The sequence below is a fragment of the Homo sapiens genome, chromosome 16 (genome assembly GCF_000001405.40).
Source record: "Homo sapiens chromosome 16, GRCh38.p14 Primary Assembly".
Taxonomy (NCBI): Eukaryota; Metazoa; Chordata; class Mammalia; order Primates; family Hominidae; genus Homo; species Homo sapiens.
The window spans coordinates 16,025,664-16,046,128 of NC_000016.10; the positions used below are offsets into that span (position 1 = coordinate 16,025,664).

The 20,465-nt window shown below is 47.9% G+C and overlaps 1 protein-coding gene across 27 annotated transcripts in view, besides 1 other annotated feature; it reads left to right on the forward strand.

Moving 5' to 3' along the window:
- The window catches only part of ABCC1 (ATP binding cassette subfamily C member 1 (ABCC1 blood group)), a 193,911-nt gene that overhangs the window by 76,521 nt on the left and 96,925 nt on the right, over positions 1–20,465 (forward strand). For all 27 annotated transcript variants that reach the window (XM_047434134.1, NM_004996.4, NM_001438755.1 and 24 more), the window contains 4 exons: positions 7,446–7,507; positions 10,809–10,940; positions 18,787–19,017; positions 20,173–20,350. In XM_047434134.1, the coding sequence (XP_047290090.1) occupies positions 7,446–7,507; positions 10,809–10,940; positions 18,787–19,017; positions 20,173–20,350 (603 nt within the window). The remainder of the gene's footprint in view (positions 1–7,445; positions 7,508–10,808; positions 10,941–18,786; positions 19,018–20,172; positions 20,351–20,465) is intronic.
- Positions 15,689–15,983: a silencer, noted in NCBI's record as "tiled region #7660; HepG2 Repressive non-DNase unmatched - State 15:Elon". NCBI's record gives its function as "represses a minimal TATA promoter and a strong SV40 promoter by Sharpr-MPRA in HepG2 cells {active_cell/tissue: HepG2}" and the evidence as "EXISTENCE:reporter gene assay evidence [ECO:0000049][PMID:27701403]".

The following is a 20,465-nucleotide window of genomic DNA, read 5'->3' on the forward strand; positions in this document are numbered from 1 at the left end:
GCGCTCCAAGAATCAGTGCCTGGGGCTGCCGTACCTAATTGGTTCAAACCACAGGGTTTCTGGCCAGCTCATCTGGTACCAAACGTAGATGTCAATATGGTGGATGCCAAAGAACACATCACTCTGTTTGGATGAATCAGGCTTTTCCTCCCTCTGCCTTCAGCCAGGACTTCTCTGAATTGTTTTCATTTCAAATGAAAGAGGGACCAGTTCACAAGCTGCTTTCATGCTATCTGGGACAGGAGTTACTGTATTTCAGTGTCTGAGGCTGGGAAACCCCCTGGAGGTGGCTCTGTCTTTTGTACCTAGTGTGTGATGTCAAAAGATTCTCCTTGGTTTGGGTTAAATGACATGCTCCCTGGATTACAATCCAGTGCCCCATGATTTTTTTTCCTCCTTTTTTATTGTCAATCCTTGACCTACTTCAGAAGTTAGTTGTCTTTGTTGTCAAGTAAGGCCTTCCACGTCAGATAGAGGCTGTTTCCAGGCCGGGTGCAGTGGCTCATGCCTGTAATCCCAGCACTTTGGGAGGCCGAGGTGGGTGGATCGCTTGAGGTCAGGAGTTTGAGACCAGCCTGGCCAACATGATAAAACCCCCGTCTGTACTACAAATGCAAAAATTAGCCAGGCATGGTGGTGTGCACCATGTAATCCCCGCTATGTGGCAGGATGAGGCAGGAGAACTGTTTCAATTTGGGAAGCGGAGGCTGCAGTGAGCTGAGAACGCACCATTGCGCTGCAGCCTGGGCGATGAGAGTGAAACCGTCTCAAAAAAAAAAAAAAAAAAAAAAAGGCTATTTCCTTTTTTTTTTTTTTTTTTTTTTTGCCAGTGAAGGGGGGACCCTGTGTTGGCCTCCCTATCGGTCACTTGAGATAATCTGAAAATCTGTGTTTAGATCCATAGAAGAGAGGCGGCCTGAGGAGAAGAATTTGACAAAGCTCTTTGAGTGTGCAAATTAGAAATGGCAATTGCTGGGCGCGGTGGGTCATGCCTGTAATCCCAGCGCTTTGTGAGGCCGAGATAGGCGGATCAGTTGAGGTCAGGAGTTCGAGACCAGCCTAGCCAACATGGTGAAACCCCATCTCTATCAAAAAATCCAAAAATTAGCCAGGTGTGGTGGCAGATGCCTATAATCCCAGCTACTCAGGAGGCTGAGGCAGGAGAATTGCTTGAACCTGGGAGGTGGAGGTTGCAGTGAGCCGAGATCGGGCCACTGCACTCCAGCCTGGGCGACAGAGTGAGACTCAGTCTCAAAACACAAAAAACAAAAAACTGTGCAGTGTTCTGTCTGTCAATGTCCTTGTTGCATTTGCAGGGCAGGTTTTCTACCAGTGGCTGGGGACTTAGTTTTACTGGGCCGAGGGAAGGTTAGGATTTGAGGGTCTTGTTAAGCTGGATATGGGCTGCATTTCAAGCCTCCCCTGGCTGTCTCTATCCTGCGTGTTGATGCCAAGGCTGAAGAAGACTGGATTTGCAGGCAAAAGACTGTCATTTGAGGCCTGTTTTCACCCCTTAATCACTGTGTCTTGGTATGTTGTGGGGGTTGAGGTAGGCAGAGGTTAGCCAACCTTTTCTGGAAAGGGCTGGCTGATAAATACTTGAGGCTTTGCATCCCATACACTGTCTGTGGCAACCCCTAACTCCGCTGTGTAGCTCAAAAGCTGCCATACTCATTTATAATACATAAATGAATGGGTGTGACTGTTCCAATGAAACTTTATTTATAAATAGCTGGTCTGTGGGCCATAGATGCTTCTGATATATAAAGCATCTGGTATAGTGGTGTATTGTGAACCCACTGGGGTTTTTTCCCCCCCAAACACTTGAGCTTTATTGATGTATATTGACAAATAAAAATGGTATATAGGTTGGGCACGGTGGTTCATGCCTATAATCCCAGGACTTTGGGAGGCCGAGGCAGGTGGATCACTTGAGCTCAGGAGTTCGAGACTAGCTCAAGGAATAGAGTGAAATTCTGTCTCTACAAAAAATACAAAAATTAGCTGGGTGTTGTGGTGTGCGTCTGTAGTCCCAGCTACCTGGGGGGCTGAGGTGGGAGGATCACTTGAACCTGGGAGGTCGAGGCTGCAAAGAGCTATGATTACACTACCGTGCTCCAGCCTGGGTGACAGAGCGAGACCCTGTCTCGAAAATATATTTAAGGTGTACAGTTTTATGTTTCCATATACCAGAGGCTACTGTCACTGCTTCTATTATTATTACTACTACTACTACTCATGTTACCCTTTCTTTGGCTGTTACTTTGTGCCAGGTACTATTCTAAGTACTTACCATGTTTGATCTCATTTAATCTTCACCACCAAGGAACTGACCCAAGGTCCCACAGCTAGGAAATGGCAAGCTGGGATTGAGCCGTGCCAGCTAGCCCCGTGCTATGCACTGCTTCACACAGAAGCTGCCCCTCCACCCCTGCCGCCTTCCTTTTCCTTTGTTCCTTTGTTATCAGCTGGCCGTTTCCAGAAACGGTTGGTTAACCTCTGCCTACCTCAACCCTCAGTGATTAAGGGGTGATATCGGGCCTCAAATGACTGACCTTTTTCCTTTGTTGCAGCTCTCACTGATTGTAATTCTGATTGTAATTATATATTTGTTTGCACCGTGGTTTACTTACTGTCCATCTTCCCCAGGGCAGGAGGCTGAATGGGGCAGGGGTCTCGCTGTCTCGTTTGCAGCTCCGTCCGCGGCACTTCACCCACATCCTGGCCTATAAGCAAGTCCTGCCCATATATTTGACCAATAAATAAATGAATCATTGACAGCCGTGCCCCACCCCTTCCTCCTCTCTCTGCCAGCCAGCACCTTGGTCTTTCACAGTGGGTAGAGGGCTTGGGCTGCAGGTGAAATGGATTTGCAATTCCCTGATAACCCACCCGCCGACTGTGGGAGTGGGCAGGAAGGTGTCAGCTCTTCCGGATGAAAAACCAGCCTGCAATGCAGTGTTTCTACCCAGCCTACAAAGCAAACACCACTACCTCCACGCCTTAGGTTGGAGAAATTCCGCTTTACGACACAGTCCCATGGGCCTCATGTCATTTGTCCCTCCTGGCAGTCCCGGGGGATAGGTCGAGCAAGCAGTAGGACAAACGACTCCCATTTTCCAGGTGTAAAAACTGAGGCTTGGAGGTGAAGGGACTTGCCCAAGGTCATCAGCTAGAATATAGCAGGGCTGGGATTAGAACCCAGGTCTGTCCGGGTCCACGGTCTGATCTGAACTCGGCTTCAGTTGGTCTGGAATGCACCGGCTGCATCTGATGATCTTATTAAAGATCTGTGGCTGTCAGGGTCCTCCCCCTGGAGGTGCTGATTTAGTTGGTCTGGGTTGGGGCCCTAGGCACTTGGCACTTAACAAACTCCTTAGGTGATTCCAGTGGACAGGCAGGGCTGGGAACTTCATCACCCCTCCGAGCCCCAGAGCGGAGCCTGATCCTTAGCCCTGGCTGTGTATTTGAATCACTGGAGGAGCTTTTTATTTAGCCTTTTATGATGGAAACATAAAGTAGACAGCCTAGGATAATGAACTACCATGAGCTCTTTTTCTTTTCTTTTTATTTATTTTTGAGACAGGGTCTCACTATTACCCAGGCTGGAGTGCGATGGCACAATCTCAGCTTGCTGCAACCTCTGCCTCCCGGGTTCAAGCCATTCTCGTGCCTCAGCCTCTTGAGTAGCTGGGACTACAGGCACGTGCCACCATGTCCGGCCAATTTTTATATTTTTTGTAGAGACAGGGTCTTGCCATGTTGCCCAGACTGGTCTCGAACTCCTGAACTCAAAGCAGTTCTCCCGCCTCAGCCTCCCAAAGTGTTGGGGTTACAAGTGTGAGCCACTGCGCCCAGCTGCCATGAGCTCTTTACCATGCATTGCATAGGTGAACGTTTTAATATGTATCTCTGAAGGACATGGATTTGTTTATTTTAAATGACTTTTTATTTCGCAATAGTTTGGCTCACAAAAAGTTGCAAAAATAACAGAGTTCCTGTTGTTCATTGCTCAACTTTCTCTAATGATAACATCTGAAAGATAAGAATTTTAAAAACTGTAACTGTTGGGCTGCATGTGATGGCTCATGCCTGTAATTCCAGCACTTTGGGAAGCTGAGGCAGGAGGATCACTTAAGCCCAGGAGTTTGAGACCAGCCTGATCAATATAGGTAGACCTTGTCTTGACAAAAAACATGTATATGTGACTGTAATACTAACTTTAATAATAATTCATTATTATCAAATATTCCAGTAATCCATTGTGTTTGTACAATGGCTCATTCTTCTATGATATCATTCTTTATGTTTTAGCTGGGATTTTTTTATGGAAAAGAGTTTCCCCTTCATTTCTTTGATCACTGATCACTCTGTGGTGATCGAATAAATGACTGTTTTCCTCAGGGAAGCCTTCTCCAACCCTGGTGAACCAAATGAGTACATTTGGGAAAGGTGGAGAAAATACTTGTTTCTTTCCGCTTTTTCTGCGTTCAAACAATGACCTGGTTCACTGACAACATCAGATGTTTCTCTTTATTTCCAGCGTCAATATGAAATTTGTGTACATAAACATGTAAGGCTGGGCGCAGTGGCTCAAGCCTGTAATCCCACCACTTTGGGAAGCCACGGTGGGCAGATCACTTGAGTCAGGAGTTCGAGACCAGCCTGTTCACCAACATGGTGAAACCCCATCTCTACTAAAGATACAAACATTAGCCCAGTGTGGTGGCTGATGCTTGTAATCCCAGCTACTTAGGAGGCCGAGGCGGGAGGATCACTTGAACCCAGGAGGCGGAGTTTGCAGTGAGCCAAGATCACGCCACTGGACTCCAGCCTGGGCGACAGAGCAAGACTCCATCTCAAAAAACAAAACAAAACAAAAACCTTGCTTGGTATGTTTCAGCCTGTTGTACTTATTCTCCTTGTCAAAGCTCAAATTGTCCCTCTTTTAGCCTGCAGCGGCCACTTCTGCTTGGCTCTTGAGCCTTTTAACAATCCTGTTCATGCTTAGTTTCCTTGTTGTCCGGTGTGACAAGATGTTCTTGGCTTACCTTGCATATTTCCTGCCCAGCCACTTTTCCAAGAAAAATCTGGAAGTTTAAAACAAAAACAAAGCTTCAGTGCCCCAGTCGCACCCAGAACCAGCTTAATCAGATTGCCTGGTGCGGGTAGGGCCCGGATACAGTATTTTTTTAAATTTTATTTTTATTTTGTTTGAGACAGGGTCCCTAGGCTGGAGTGTAGTGGCACGATCTCAGCTTACTGCAACCTCCGCCTCATGGATTCAAGCAATTCTGCCTCAGCCTCCCGAGTAGCTGAGCTTGCAGGCACCCACCACCACATCCAGCTAATTTTTTGTATTTTTGGTAGAGACGAGGTTTCATCATGTTGCCTAGGCTGGTCTCGAACTCCTGACCACAAGTGATCTGCCCGCCTTGGCCTCCCAAAGTACTGGGATTACAGGCATGAGCCACCACACCCAGCCAGGATACAGTATTTTTTAAAAAGCACGCCCAGCCTTGAATGGAAAACCACTGGACGAGAGTATGCCACCTTATCGGGCTCTGTAAATGCCTTATATCTGCACAAGGCTGGAACTTTGAGTGGAGTCCTTGGCTAAAGCTTTCATTACTGCCTGGTGACCTCTCTTCCCTCTGCTGCTAAAGCTTGTGTTTCAGAATTTAGACCCGGATGCATCCATGTTGAAAGCCAGGCTTTGTCTGTCATCCCAGGAGCTCTGTATCGGTCCCTTTCCTTGCCTGCATGTTGTTGACTTGGGGCTCATCTTCATTTCTCTGGGAAATGAGTTCTTTGATAGCTTGCTTAGAATCTCTCAGTACTTCCCATTGCCCTTAGAATGAAGACCAAAATATGTGGCCTGCAGTGTAGACTGTGCACAGCCTCCAGTGTAGACTACTCAGGCCCCTTCTTGGTTCCTGGAGTCTACCATGCTTTCTTCTACCACCGGGCCTTTGCACACACTGCTGTCTGTTGGGAATGCGTTGCCTTTCCTTGTTACTTAGTTCTCATCTACTCACCCTTCAGGTGCCAGCTTGACTGTCTGCCTCGGGGGCGCCTTCTCTGACCTTCGTACACCAGATCAGCCCCCATGCACTTACTTTGTCTCATTGGTAATATTTCTCTCCCTTCAGGACACACATCAAGGCCCAGAAGTTGTAGTTTTGCATTTGTTCATGTGATCATTTGATGCATGTCTCTCTCTGGAGCCTGACTCTTTGGGGCTCACATCCTCACTCCACCGCTTTTAGCTGTGGGACCTTGAACAAATCTTTTCATCTCTGGTCCCCAGTTTTTAAGTTAAATTAAATTTTATTTTATTTTTATTTTGAGACACTCTTGCTCTGTTGCCAGGCTGTAGTGCAGTCGTTCGATCATGGCTCACTGCAACCTCCGCCTCCTGGGTTCAAGCGATTCTCTTGCCTCAGCCTCCCAAGTAGCTGGAACTACAGGCGCCTGCCACCACATCCAGCTAATTTTTGTATTTTTAGGAGAGACAGGGTTTCACCATGTTGGCTAGGATGGTCTCGATCTCTTGACCTCATGATCTGCCTGCCTCGGTCTCCGAAAGTGCTGGGATTACAGGCCCAGTTTCTTTTAACTGCAAAACAGGGATGATATAATACTTTTATTTATCTTGTGAGGTGAGGATGAAGATTAAATAAGGTAGTTTGTGTAAAGCACTTAGAAAAGAGCTAGCTACTAATAGTAGAGAATCTTGGCAGGTATTACTGATGATTACTGCAGTAGACCACAAGCTCCATACAGGCAGGGGTCATTTCTGTTTGTTTAGATTTGTATGCAGGGTGCTTGGCACAAGGGTTGTGCTCAGGAAATACTTGTTGGATGAACGAATGAATGAAGTGGAGATAATAGTAATACCATGTTTATAGAATTCCATGAGGATATAAAATAATGCAAGTATATAAGCTCTTGGTAGAGTGTCTAGCACATAGTAGATGGTCAATAAATATTCAGTGACTGAATGAGTAAAGTGGGGACAATAGTAATACCCGCTCATGAGGTTGTCGTGGGGATATAAGGCAACCCTGTAGTACCTTGTAGAATGCCTAGCACATAGTAGGTGCTCAGAAAATATTTGTTGAATGAATGAGTGAAGTAGGGATGACGTTAACACCAACTCCTAGGGTTGTTGTGGGGATAGAAGACAAGGCAGGTCTATAGCATGTTGTATTGTGGTTGCACATGGTAGACACTCCGTTGATTGAAACTGGAAGAGCTGCCATGAATTTCTTTCTCCTGGCTATTAGGAGAGGGTCCTTTTGGGGTGCAGAATGGTGTGGAGCTGACGCTAGTCCTCTGGAAGGAAGAGTGAGCAGCTGACTACTTGCTAAGCTCTGACCTGGATGAAAAGTCAAATCATTCCTTTCCCTCTTCCTCCCAAACCTGTGCTTTCTTTCCACTAGAATCCCTGCCCAGAGTCCAGCGCTTCCTTCCTGTCGAGGATCACCTTCTGGTGGATCACAGGGTAAGGCCAGGCCCCCCAGACCTCAGGGAGGTGGTGGGGAGTGAATGAATGAATGAATGAACGAATGAACATGCTCAGCTCCCCCTCCCCAACTTCTCCCTCCTTTGCTCTTCTGCAGAGTTGTCTTGAATCTGCCTGTGCTGGCCATGTGGTCTCAGAGACACCAACTCTGTCCGGCAGTTCCGTGAACTTGAATGTGATAAACACGTGAGCCGTGAGCAGCTGACACCTCTGCAGAAGGCTTTGCCTGGGACAGCCATATGCTGGACTGCTTTTGCTTTAGCTTCAGATTTGGGTTTTTAAAATATTAGGTATAGTTATTATTGACATTGTCCCCCTCCTGTCCCCCACGCCTTAGAAAAATAATACTGTCTCACCACAGGAAGTGTGGGTTAAAAAACCACATGTGCAGATCAGCAGTGCAGGAGACATCTAGAGGTAACCAGTGTCACCATTTTAGTATGCCTTCTTCTGGTCGTCTTTCTTTTTTTTTTGAGACGGAGTCTTACTCTGTCAGTCTCAGCTCACTACAAGTCTCCGCCTCCCAGGTTCAAGCGATTCTCCTGCCTCAGCCTCCCAGGTAGCTGGGATTACAGGCTTGCGCCACCATGCCCGGCTACTTTTTGTATTTTTAGTAGAGACAGAGTTTTGCCATGTTGGCCAGGCTTGTCTTGAAACTCCTGACCTCAGGTGATCCACCCGCATCGACTTCCCAAAGTGCTGGGATTACAGGTGTGAGCCACCATGCCCAGCTACCTTCTGGTCCTCTTTTTGTATATCTTTTTCTGCCCGTTGTTAACATCTTAGTGGGGATTGTTTGAAGAATCTTTTTTTGCCCCTAATAAGCATCATCTTTTTTTTTTTTTTTTTTTTTTGAGACAGGCTTTCGCTCTGTCGCTGAGGCTGGAGTGCAGCGGCACACTTGTAGCTCACTGCAGTCCCAATCTACTGGGCTTAGGTGATGCTCCTGCCTCAGCCTCCTGAGTAGCTGGGGCTACAGGCACACTCCCCCATGCCCAGCAGATTTTTGTACTTTCTGTAGAGATGGGGTTTCATCATGTTGCCCAGGCTGGTCTCCAGCTTCTGAGCTCAAGTGATTCTCCCGCCTCAGCCTCCAGAGTGCTGGGATTACAGGCGTGAACCACCATGCCCGGTCTCATCCTTGTCTTAATGACAAACATCGTTTTAAAAAATTAGATGTTTTAAATAATTTCTTCAAGTTACTATTAAAAAGCATCACTGGGACAGTTGATGTAATTTGTTCATGACTACAGGACCCCGGATGCATGCTAATAACATTCATTCTTGTTTTGGAAAATTGTGCTCTAGTTACATAAGAGCATGTCCTGGATTGGAAGAGAATACCTCCAGTTTTTCTTGGGTAAAGGCATGTAGAGGCTGTATGTTAACTTTTTTTTTTTTTTTTTTTTTTTTTGAGATGGAGTCTTGCTCTGTCATCCAGGGTGCAGTGCAGTGGCAGGACCTCAGCTCTCTGCAACCTCTGCTTCCTGGGTTCAAGAGATTCTCCTGTCTCAGCCTCCTGAGTAGCTGGGATTACAGGGACCTGCCACCACATCCAGCTAATTTTTGTATTTTTAGTAGAGATGGAGTTTCACTGTGTTGTCCAGGCTGGTCTCAAACTCCTGACTTCAGGTGATCCACCCACGTCAGCCTCCCAAGGTGCTGAGATTACAGGTGTGAGCCACCATGCCAGCCCTTTAACTGTTTAAGTGGTTCAGAAAAAGATGATGTGTTTGCATGTGTGTGTGTGTTTGTGTGTGCATGTCAATGGATACAGACAGAGAATGATACTGCAAACGTGGCAACGTGTTAACAATGGTGAGTTGAGTGAATTCTTAGTATGATTTGAGTAATTTTTCTATAAGTTTGAAATTATTTTAGAACAAAACATGAAAGTATTTTACCTTTTATTATAAAAGTGTTTAGTCTGCTGGGCACGGTGGCTCATGCCTGTAATGTTAGCACTTTCAGAGGCCAAGGTGGGTGGATCACCTGAGGTCAGGAGTTCGAGACCAGCCTGGCCTACATGGTGAAACCCTGTCTCCACTAACAATACAAAAATTAGCCGGGCAGCACACGCCTGTAATCCCAGCTACTTGGGAGGGTGAGGCAGGAGAATTGCTAGAATACAGGAGGCAGAGGTTGCAGTGCACTGAGATGGCGCCATTACACTCCAGCCTGGATGGAGTGACATAGAAAGATTAATATAATAAAACTCAATAATCTCATCACCCAGATTTCATGCTTACTAATGCTTTGTCATGTCAGCCTTTTTATTTTTTAATTTTTTCCTTCAGCCTATTTTTTTTTTTTTCTTTTTATAGGGTCTGACTCTGTTGCCCAGGCTGGAGTGCAGTGACACAATGACGGCTCTTTGCAGCCTCCACCTCCTGGCCTTGAGCAATCCTGCCACCTCAGCCTCCCGAGTAGCTGGGACTACAGGTGCGAGCCATCATGACTGGCTAATTTTTTTATTTTTACTTTTCGTAGAGATAGTCTCCCTATGTTGTCCAGGCTGGTCTTGAACTCCAGGGCTCACAAAATCCTCCCACCTCGGCCTCCCAGAGCGCTAGGATTATAGACATGAGCTACCGTGCCTGGCCCATATCAGCCTTTTTTAATTTAAAATTTTAAAAAGTTGGCGGGGCACGGTGGCTTATGCCTATAATTCCAAGACTTCGGGAGGCCAAGGTGGGAGGGTTGCTTGAGCCCGGGGGTTCAAGACCAGCTTGGGCAACATAGGGAGACTCTTGTCTCTACAAAAATAAAAAATAAAAAAAAAATTAGCCAGTCATAATGGCTTACACCCAAAGTCCCAGCTACTCGGGAGGTTGAGATGGGAGAACCACTCTAGACCGGGAGCTGGAGGCTGCAGGGAGCTGCGATCGCACCACTGTACTCCATCCTGGGTGACACAGCGAGACCCTCTCTCCAAGTAAATAAATGAATGAACGAATAATAAAAAATAAAAAAGAGCTATCCTGATACTTCGCTCCTAAATCATCTTTTTTTCCCTAAGTCTTTTGTATGCACCACTAAAAAAAAAAAAAGCCATTTTTCCTGCATGACCCAACAGAATGAGCTGTAATTAGCTTGTAATATATGCAAATGTCCATCTGCATTCTGACTTCCCAAGCTGCATGGCTGCCTTCATTTGCAGCGGGCAGCTGTGCTGCAGAGGGGAGCAGCATCAGCAGGCGTGTGGAGTGAGTGAGCCCCGTCCTCCCCCTCCTCCTGTCATTGACTCTCATTGCCTAACCCCCTTGTGTCTTGGCCCCAGGTTGATTGTCCGGGGCTACCGCCAGCCCCTGGAGGGCAGTGACCTCTGGTCCTTAAACAAGGAGGACACGTCGGAACAAGTCGTGCCTGTTTTGGTAAAGAACTGGAAGAAGGAATGCGCCAAGACTAGGAAGTAAGTGTGAGTTTCCTTGTCCTCCAGGATGCCCTGGTCACCTCCTTTCCACTCCTGTGGCCTCAATCCAGGATGGGGCCCTGGCAGTGCTGCCTGTTACTAGCTTTGTGGTTCTGGGCAAGATGCCTCACTTCTCCTCCTGGCCTCAGTTTGCTTTTCTGCCAAATGGGGTAGGATCTCACATGTCATTAAAGCAACTGGGCAGAGAAAAGAAGAAAGAAGCTGGGTGCGGTGGCTCTCGTGTCTAATCCCAGCACTTTGGGAGGCCAAGGCAGGCGGATCACTTGGTCGGGAGTTTGAGACCAGCCTGGCCAACATGGTGAAACCCTGTCTCTACTAAAAATACAAAAATTAGCTAGGCATGGTGGCAGGCGCCTGTAATCATAGCTACTCAGGAGGCTGACAGGAGAATCACTTGAACCCAGGAGGCGGAGGTTGCAGTGAGCTGAGATTGTGCCACTGCATACTAGCCTGGGAGACAGAGTGAGACTCCGTCTCAAAAAAAAAAAAAGAAGAAAAATGTTGTCCAAACAGGCAGTTGATGCTGTCTGCCATGGCGCGTGACTATCCCTCCTTGAGTCAGTCTCACTTTTTTCTGTCTCTTTCTGAGCATCTGGCATCCTGCATGTTCTTGCTGTTTGAATGTTCTGTCCAACATGCCCAGCTGACCACGTAAGTCTGTTTAGCCAAAGAAGCCCCATTTGAGGGTGATTTTGGCTGTACTGGATTTTAGGCTCTACCCCCTATGTAAGGCGTGCCCCACTGCACCACCTCTGTCACTCTTCGGGAATCAGGCCAGTGCCTCCCCTGCACATACCTTAACTCATCAAATCTGAGACACCATTAGTTGCGTGATGCGTTATTATTCTATGTAACAGTAAGAAAGAAAAGCAGCTGCCAATTAAACAAGGACATAAGACTTGTCTCGAGCCCGGACGAACTGGAACATGAAATTGTGGGTGACATGGGGGCAGTGGATTGCGGCCATGGGGGTAGTAGAATGGCTGTTTTTGTTCCTGTTGCCTGTTCTGGGGTAAGTTTACTACGATAAACTGTGGTGGGGCCAGTGTGGTGCATTGGATTCCCCACAGACCCATTGGCCTTACAGGGAAAAACCCCAGACCGGGGTTCTGTTCCTCATTCTATTCCGGGGATGCCCAGGATACAGGCCTTCAGTCAGACCCAGATGGTGGGTGGGAATCTGGACATCCATGTGCCAGCCACTAGGACATCAGCAGAGGACCTCGTGACTCCGGTCGGAGGCTGTTTGGGTGGTCCAGGTGATGGGAGAAATTGTCTCGTGGGAGGCAGATAGAGCTTGGGCCTCTGTGACTGAGCATTGTAAGGAAATGGCCCATGTCCATGACCCAGTTGAAGGTTTTTGGCAGGCAAAGGTGGGGTCCCTGTTTATTACAGTTCTTCATGGAGACAGAACTAGTAGGATGGATGGATGGATGGATAGATGATAGATAGATGGATGATAGATTGATAGATGATAGGTAGATGATAGACGGATAGTTGGTGGATGTATACATGGTAGGTAGATGGATAGATGATAGATAGATGGATGATTGATAGATGATGGATGGATGGATGGATGGAGGATGAGAGGGGATCTACTAGGGAAACTGGATCATGTGATTATGGAGGCTGAGAAGTCCCACCCTAGGTCATCTGCAACCTGGAGAACCCAGGAAGCTGGTAGCATGGCTCAGGCCTAGTCCAAAAGTCTCAGACCCAGGGAAGCTGATGGTGGAATTCTCAGTCCATAGTCAAAGGCCTGAGAACCTGGAGTCATTGGGTAAGTCCCAGAGGCCAGAAATCCTGGAGTTCTGATGTTCAAGGGTGGGAGAGGATGACATCCTGGCTGCAGAAGAGAGAGTGCCTGCATTTGCCATTACTCTGACTTTTTGTTGTGTCCGGACCCTCTGCTGATTGGGCGGTGCCACCCACATGGGGCGAGGATGGATCTTCCTTAGTCAGTCCACTCATTCAAATGCCAGTCTCGTCTGGAAACATCCTCACAGACACACCCAGAAATAACACTTTAACAGCAATCTGGGTATCCCTTAACCCAGTCAACTTGACCCCTAACATCACCCATCTCATCTGGATTCCTTCAGCCTCACCTGCAGCATCCCCCCCGCTAAGCAGGCCACATTTGTAGTGTGGGCTTCAGCATTCCTCATCATCCACGCCTCTGCTGATCACCTGGCTCGGCTTCCTCTCATGGAAGACGGATGCCCACCTTTGTGTCCCCTGGAGCTTGTCAGGAGAGCAGGTTGCTGGAGACACCATGGGAGAGGCCAATATCACAGCCTTGGGAGGAGGACAGAGTTTGAATCCAGAAGCTCCTCCACTGGCCTGGCTCTTAATCCACTGAGCAGATGAAACTGACTGCTGCTTTTGTGCTTAGCGACGTTTAGTCCCTGAGGGTTCAGAGAGTGGAACAAAAGAGACACACTCTAGTTGGGTGCCATCGACATTCTATATGGGAGACAGGACGTTGGTTGTGAAACATGCATTGACAAGAAGCTTTGGAGAATGATGGTGTTGGGGTGAGATAAAAATGAGGAAATGAGGGTGAGAGTAACCGAGGAAGCTTTTGTGTGTGTGTGTGTGTGTGTGTGTATGTATGTGTGTGTGTGTGTGTGTGTGTTTTCTTTTTTTTTTTTTTTTTTTGAGATGGAGTCTCATTCTGTTACCCAGGGTGGAATACAGTAGTGTGATCTCGGCTCACTGCAACCTCTGCCTCTCGGGTTCAAGCAATTCTTCTGCCCCGGTCTCCCAAAGTGCTGGGATTACAGGTGCATGCCACCACGCCTGACTAATTTTTTGTATTTTTAGTAGAGACGGGGTTTCACCATGTTGGCCAGGCTGGTCTTAAACTTCTAATCTCAAGTGATCCTCCTGCCTTGGCCTCCCAAAGTGCTGGGATTACAGGCATGAGCTACTGTGTCCGGCTGAGAGAGGTGTTTTAGATACAGTGGTCAAAGGTTCTACCCAGTGTGGCCATGACCCTTGGTGAGCATGTGCCTGTCCCTCCCTAAGTCTATCTCTGGCTGTTTTCGAGCCTCTGGCATCCTGAGTGTTACTGCTTTTTGAAGTGTTTTTGTTCAACATGCCCAGCTGACCATGTATGATTGTTTTGAGAAGGTCACATTTGAGCAGAGACTTGCATTGGAGGGAGTGAGCCTTGTGTGTATCTGGGGAAGGAAGGGCTTTCCAGGTAGAGGGAGCAGCCAGTGCAAAGGCTCTGAGGACACTCGTGGTGCATCAGGGGGCTTGTGTGGCTTGAGGAAAGTGAGTGAGGGGGAGAAAGGGAGGAGATGAAGCAGGAGAAGGATTTGCAGGGGTCTCCTCTGAGAGTTAAGGTGGGATTCCAGGTGCAGTGAGAACACAGGCGCAGGTTTTCTGCAGGGCAGTGGTGTGACGTGAGTTCTGTTGTTTGTTTGTTTGTTTGTATGTATGTATGTATGTATGTATGTATGTATGTATGTATGTATTTTAGAGACAGGGTCTTGCTCTGTTGCTCAGGCTGGATGGCAGTGGCATGATAACAGCTCATTGCAGCCTGGAAATTCCGGGCTCAAGCAGTCCTCCCACCTCATCCTCCCAGAGTAGCTGGGATTACAGGTGCACACCACCATGCCTGGCTGATGAATTAATTAATTAATTTTATATTTTATATTTGTTTTTTTGAGATGGAATTTTGCTCTTGTTGCTTAGGCTGGAGTGCAGTGGTGCTGTCTTGGCTCACTGCAACCTCCACCCCCCGGGTTCAAGCGATTTTCCTGCCTCAGCCTCCGGAGTAGCTGGGATTACAGGAATGTACCACCATGCCCGGCTAATTGTGTATTTTTAGTAGAGATGGGGTTTCTCCATGTTGGTCAGTCTAGTGTCAAACTCCTGACATCAGGTGATCTGCCTGCCTCGGCCTCCCAAAGTGCTGGGATTACAGGTGTGAGCCACTGCGCCTGGCCTTTTTAAATTTATTTTATTTTATTATTATTATACTTTAAGTTTTAGGGTACATGTGCACAATGTGCAGGTTAGTTACATATGTATAGAGACAGGTCTCACTGTGTTGCCCAGGCTGGTCTCCAAGTCTTGGCTTCAAGCAGTCCTCCTGCCTCAGCCTCCCAAATAGCTGGGATTACAGGTGTGAGCCACCACACCCAGCTGAGTTCTGGTTCATAACAACCCAGGCTGTCCTGGGGAAGGTGGATATTTAGGGACAAGAGTGAAGGCAGGGAGACCAGGGTGGGAACCTCAAGGGCTGTCCATGAAGTCCCTTCATGCCTCACCGGGAGCCGCCATTGTATTTATTTATTTATTTTTTGAGACAGGGTGTCACTCTTTTGTCCAGGCTGGAGTGCAGTGGCACGATCTCGGCTCACTGCAACCTCCATCTCCTAGGCTGGAGTGATCCTCCCACCTCAGCTTCCCTAGTAGCTGGGACTACAGGCACGTGCCACCACACCTGGCTAATTTTTTTTTTTTTTTTTTGTAGAGATGATATCTCGCCATGTTGCCCAGGCTGTTCTCAAGCTCCTGAGCTCAAGCAGTCCACCTACCTTGGTCTCCCAAAGTGCTGGTATTACAGGCGTGAGCCACTGTGCCTGACTGGAGCCTCCATTTTTCACCCAGAGCATTTTCTGAGAATTCAGTGAGATATATGATATGATAAGCTGTGCCCTAGCCCTGAGTACATGCTGGGCAGGTTTTAATTGTACAAGTTTTATTTATTCATCTGTACACTTTGATCTTGCCAGGGAGGATGTGGTGAGAACTGGGTCTTGGGGCTTGAAAGCGGGCCACCTGAGAAGGGTCTGGCTCTGTGAGTACCTTGGTGTTTAGAGATCCTCAGCGTGGAGCCAGGGGATCATTTACTTGGGACATTGGTAGACGGATCGCTTGCTTTATTCCCAGAGGCATAAGCCAGATCTGGCACCTGTAACCCCTGTGAACCTGGAGAGAGTGAGAAGGAAAACCCTGTCCTAGGCTGGAATTTCCTGGTGTGGCCCCTTACACTCAGATCCCTTTTGTTAACCAGAGAAAGGAATGCAGCTCGTGCAGCTCTGGGCTGCTGGGTATCCTAGGCTCGGGGATCAGGTGATGGACGCCAGGGCTGGGGGCTCTGCATGGCTTCCTGGATCCTTTTACCACCTCTCTTCACCCATGAGTGACTCCTTCTCAAAAGTCAGGTGTGGCTGGGCATGGTGGCTCATGCCTGTAATTGCAGTACGTTGGGAGGCTGAGGCGGGAGGCTCACCTGAGTTCATGAGTTCGAGACCAGCCTGGCCAACATGGTGAATCCCTGTCTCTGCTAAAAATACAAAAATTAGCCGGGTGTGGTGGCGCTCACCTGTAATCCAGCTACAGGGGGGCTGAAGCATGAGAATTGCTTGAATTGTTTGGATTTAAAAACCCAGTGCTTCATTGGTTTGTGTGTAGTGGTTTTATGTTCTCTTTTGTGTATGGCCACTCAGAGCTTAGGGCCATTTTGGACTGTGGTTTCTGCTGGCATGAATGTGAAATGCTTCTGTGACTCTGGAAGAGTTTGGCAGTTTTTTTTTTTTTTTTTTTTAAGTTAGACACAGTGAACATACCACCAGTCACCCCCTTCCCAGGCATCCAGCCAACAGAGCTGAGAACATATGTTCATAAAAGGCTGGTACAGGAATGTTCTTAGCTACTTTGTGATAACCCAAACTGGAGGTAAGCCAGACATCTATTAGCAAGTGAACAGACAGATGCACCAGTTATGTACATCTGCACAACTGAATACTAAGTGATGTACAAGAACGAACTATTGGCCGGGCACAGTGGCTCATGCCCATAATCTCAGCACTTTGGGGGCCCAAGGCAGGCAGATCACTTGAGGTCAGGAGTTCAAGACCAGCTTGGCTAACATGGTGAAACCCTGTCTCTACTAAAAACATAAAAATTAGCTGGGTGTGGTAGCGCACACCTGTAATCCCAGCTACTCGGGAGGCTGAGGCAGGAGAATCGCTTGAACGCAGGAGGCGGAGGTTGCAGGGAGTCAGGATCGCACCATTGCACTCCAGCCTGTGTGATAGAGCAAGACTCCATCTCAAAAAAAAAAAAAAAAATCCCTATAAGATAAAGACTACTTTTTTGGTGACAGCTTTATTGAGATATTCATACACCGCACAATTCATGTATGCAGAACATACAATTCACTGATTTTTAGTGTGTTCACAGAGTTGTGCAGTCATCATCACAGTCAATTTTATTTATTTGCTTTTTAAGACAGAGTCTTGCTGTGGCGCTGAGGCTGGAGTGCAGTGGCACAACCTCGGCTCATTGCAACCCCCTCCTCCTCCTGAGTTCAAGCGATTCTCCTTTCTCACCCTCCCAAGTAGCTGGGATTACAGGCAACCGCCACCATGCCTGGCTAATTTTTTATATTTTTAGTAGAGACAAGGTTTTGCCATGTTGGTCAGGGTGTTCTCAAACTCCTGACCTCAAGTGATCCACCCGCCTCGACCTCCCGAAGTGCTGGCATTACAGGCATGAACCACTGCACCCAGTCAAAAAAAAAATTTTTTTTTAGAAATAGGGTCTTGCTGTGTTGCTCTGGCTGGCTGGACTGTTTTTTTTTTTTTTTTTTTTTCCACTGATGTATATATGCCTATCCCTTTACCTGTCTTGATGATTGTTGTTCTTTTTTTTGTTTTGTTTTTTTCTTTTTGAGACTGAGTCTTTTTGCCCAGGCTGGAGTGCAATGGTGTGGTCTCAGCTCACCACAACCTCCGCCTCCTGGGTTTAAGCGATTCTCCTGCCTCAGCCTCCCAAGTAGCTGGGATTATAGGTATGTGCCACCATGCCGGGCTGATTTTGTATTTTTAGTAGAGATGAGGTTTCTCCATGTTTGGTCAGGCTGGTCTTGAACCTGCCGACCTCAGGTGATCTGCCCACCTCGGCCTCCCATAGTGCTGGGATTACAGGCGTGAGCCACTGCGCCCAGCCTATTGTTGTTCTTTCTTTTTGAGATGGAGTTTTGCTCTGTCACCCAGGCTGGAGTGCAATGGCCTGATCTCCACTCACAGCAACCTCCACCTCCCAGGTTCAAGTAATTCTCCTGCCTCAGCCTCCCAAGTAGCTGGGATTACAGGCACCTGCCATCATGCCCGGCTAATTTTTGTATTTTTAGTAGAGATGGGGTTTCACTATGTTGGTCAGGCTGGTCTCAAACTCCTGACCCCAAGTGATCCAGCCACCTTGGCCTCCCAAAGTGCTGGGATTACAGGTGTGAACCACCACTCCTGGCCATGATTGTTATTTTGTATTGTTTTGAAATCAGGAAGTGTGAATCCTCCAACTTGATTCTTATTTTTCATGATTGTTTTGACTGTTCTGGATCCTTGAGTTTCCATGTGAATTTTAAAGTTAGCTCATAATTTCTACCTGGCAGCCAGCTGGGCTTTTGATGGGGATTGCCTTGACTCTAGATCAGTTTGGAGCCATCAGTTTTCTAAGTCTTTAACTTATTCAACTCGTTTAATCTTACCTACCTTGGAGGTAGGTCCTACTTTTATCCTCATTTCACAGAGGAGGAAACTGAGGCCCAGAGAGCTTAAGGACCTTGTCTGAAGTCACGCAGCTGGCCAGTGGCCAAGCCAGACCTTGAGCCGGTGGCTCTGGAGCCCGTGGCTCTGGAGCCCGTGTTTGTAACCACTGTGCTGAGCTGCCTCTTTCCCTGGGCTTGTTGTCTTTGACTCTGCCTTCCCTGAAGGGTGACATTCCCTGGCCATGTCCCTGTGGTAGGGGGCTGCATCTCTGGCAGACCCCACAACGGCTTCACCTCCTTGTGTTCCAGGCAGCCGGTGAAGGTTGTGTACTCCTCCAAGGATCCTGCCCAGCCGAAAGAGAGTTCCAAGGTGGATGCGAATGAGGAGGTGGAGGCTTTGATCGTCAAGTCCCCACAGAAGGAGTGGAACCCCTCTCTGTTTAAGGTGTTATACAAGACCTTTGGGCCCTACTTCCTCATGAGCTTCTTCTTCAAGGCCATCCACGACCTGATGATGTTTTCCGGGCCGCAGATCTTAAAGTAAGACCCCTTCCCTCCCAGGTGGGCTCCATTTTCCCTCCTTGGCTTTGATCTTTCAGTTGCATCAGTCATAACCCTGGGGTCATGCTGTGTCCTGAAGTGGGCTCATAGCCAGATGTCTCCATTTTTACTTTAGCTTTTTTGAAAAAAATAGAGACAGGGTCTTGCTTTGTTGGTCAGGCTGGTCTCGAGCTCCTGACTTCAAGCGATCCTCCTGCCTCGGCCTCCCAAAGTGCTGGGATTGCAGATGTGAGCCATGGTCACTGCCTAGCTTTACTTTATGCTTTACTTAATTACCATATTAGTGAAGACCACATCGTTTGCAAGTAACAGAAACCCACTAGGCTCCCCTAAAACCCAAATGGGGAGGATATGGCATTGTCTTGGGAAACCAAGAGCAAGGAAATGCCAGCAGATCTCATGAAAAAACTGCAACCAGGGTTGGGCGCAGTGGCTCATGCCTATAATCCCAGCACTTTGAGAGGCTGAGGTGGGAAGATCACCTGAGGTCAGGAGGTCAAGACCAGCCTGGCCAGCATGGTAAAACCATCTGCTAAAAATACAAAAATTAGCCGGGCGTGGTGGTGCACGCCTGTAATCCCAGCTACTCAGGAGGCTGAGGCATAAAAATTGCTTGAACCCAGGAGGCAGAGGTTACAGCAAGCTGATTGCATCACTGAACTCAAACCTTGGCGACAGAGCAAGACTTTGTCTCAAAAAAAAAAAAAAAAAAAAAAAGAATAAAAACAACAACAAAAAACTGCAACCAGGAACTGGGGAGTCAGAAAGGAAGTTGCCTCTCTCCTACCTGGCTCTCTGCTGCTCTGTGACTCAGGGGCTACACATCCCTTCTCTTTTCCTCCCTACCTCTTTACCTCGTGTTCCCTATGCAATTCCTTTGGGTGACTTGCTGGTGATGAGATATAGCTAGAGCAATTAGTGCACAACCCCAAGGCAGAGGCCTCTTTTATGAGCAGTTTGGGTCACCTGCACAGCCAGATCACCACTGTGGACTTGTTTTTCCATCTATGAAATTGAAGTGATAGTGTCTAGCTCATCTGGCTCAGGAGAAAGTTGCAGTGCCAACACTGAAGCTCTCTTCCCTGCCCCCACGTGTCACAAGTCATTCCAGGCCCTCTCTTTGCTCCTTTGCAGGTTGCTCATCAAGTTCGTGAATGACACGAAGGCCCCAGACTGGCAGGGCTACTTCTACACCGTGCTGCTGTTTGTCACTGCCTGCCTGCAGACCCTCGTGCTGCACCAGTACTTCCACATCTGCTTCGTCAGTGGCATGAGGATCAAGACCGCTGTCATTGGGGCTGTCTATCGGAAGGTAGGGGACGCTGTGCCATTGGCATGTGGCCCGACTTCCACATCCCCTCCTGCAGCCCTGGGTTACTCTGGGGCCAGCGTGGGGATTTCCAGCCCAGCTTCTGGAGCAGTAGGAT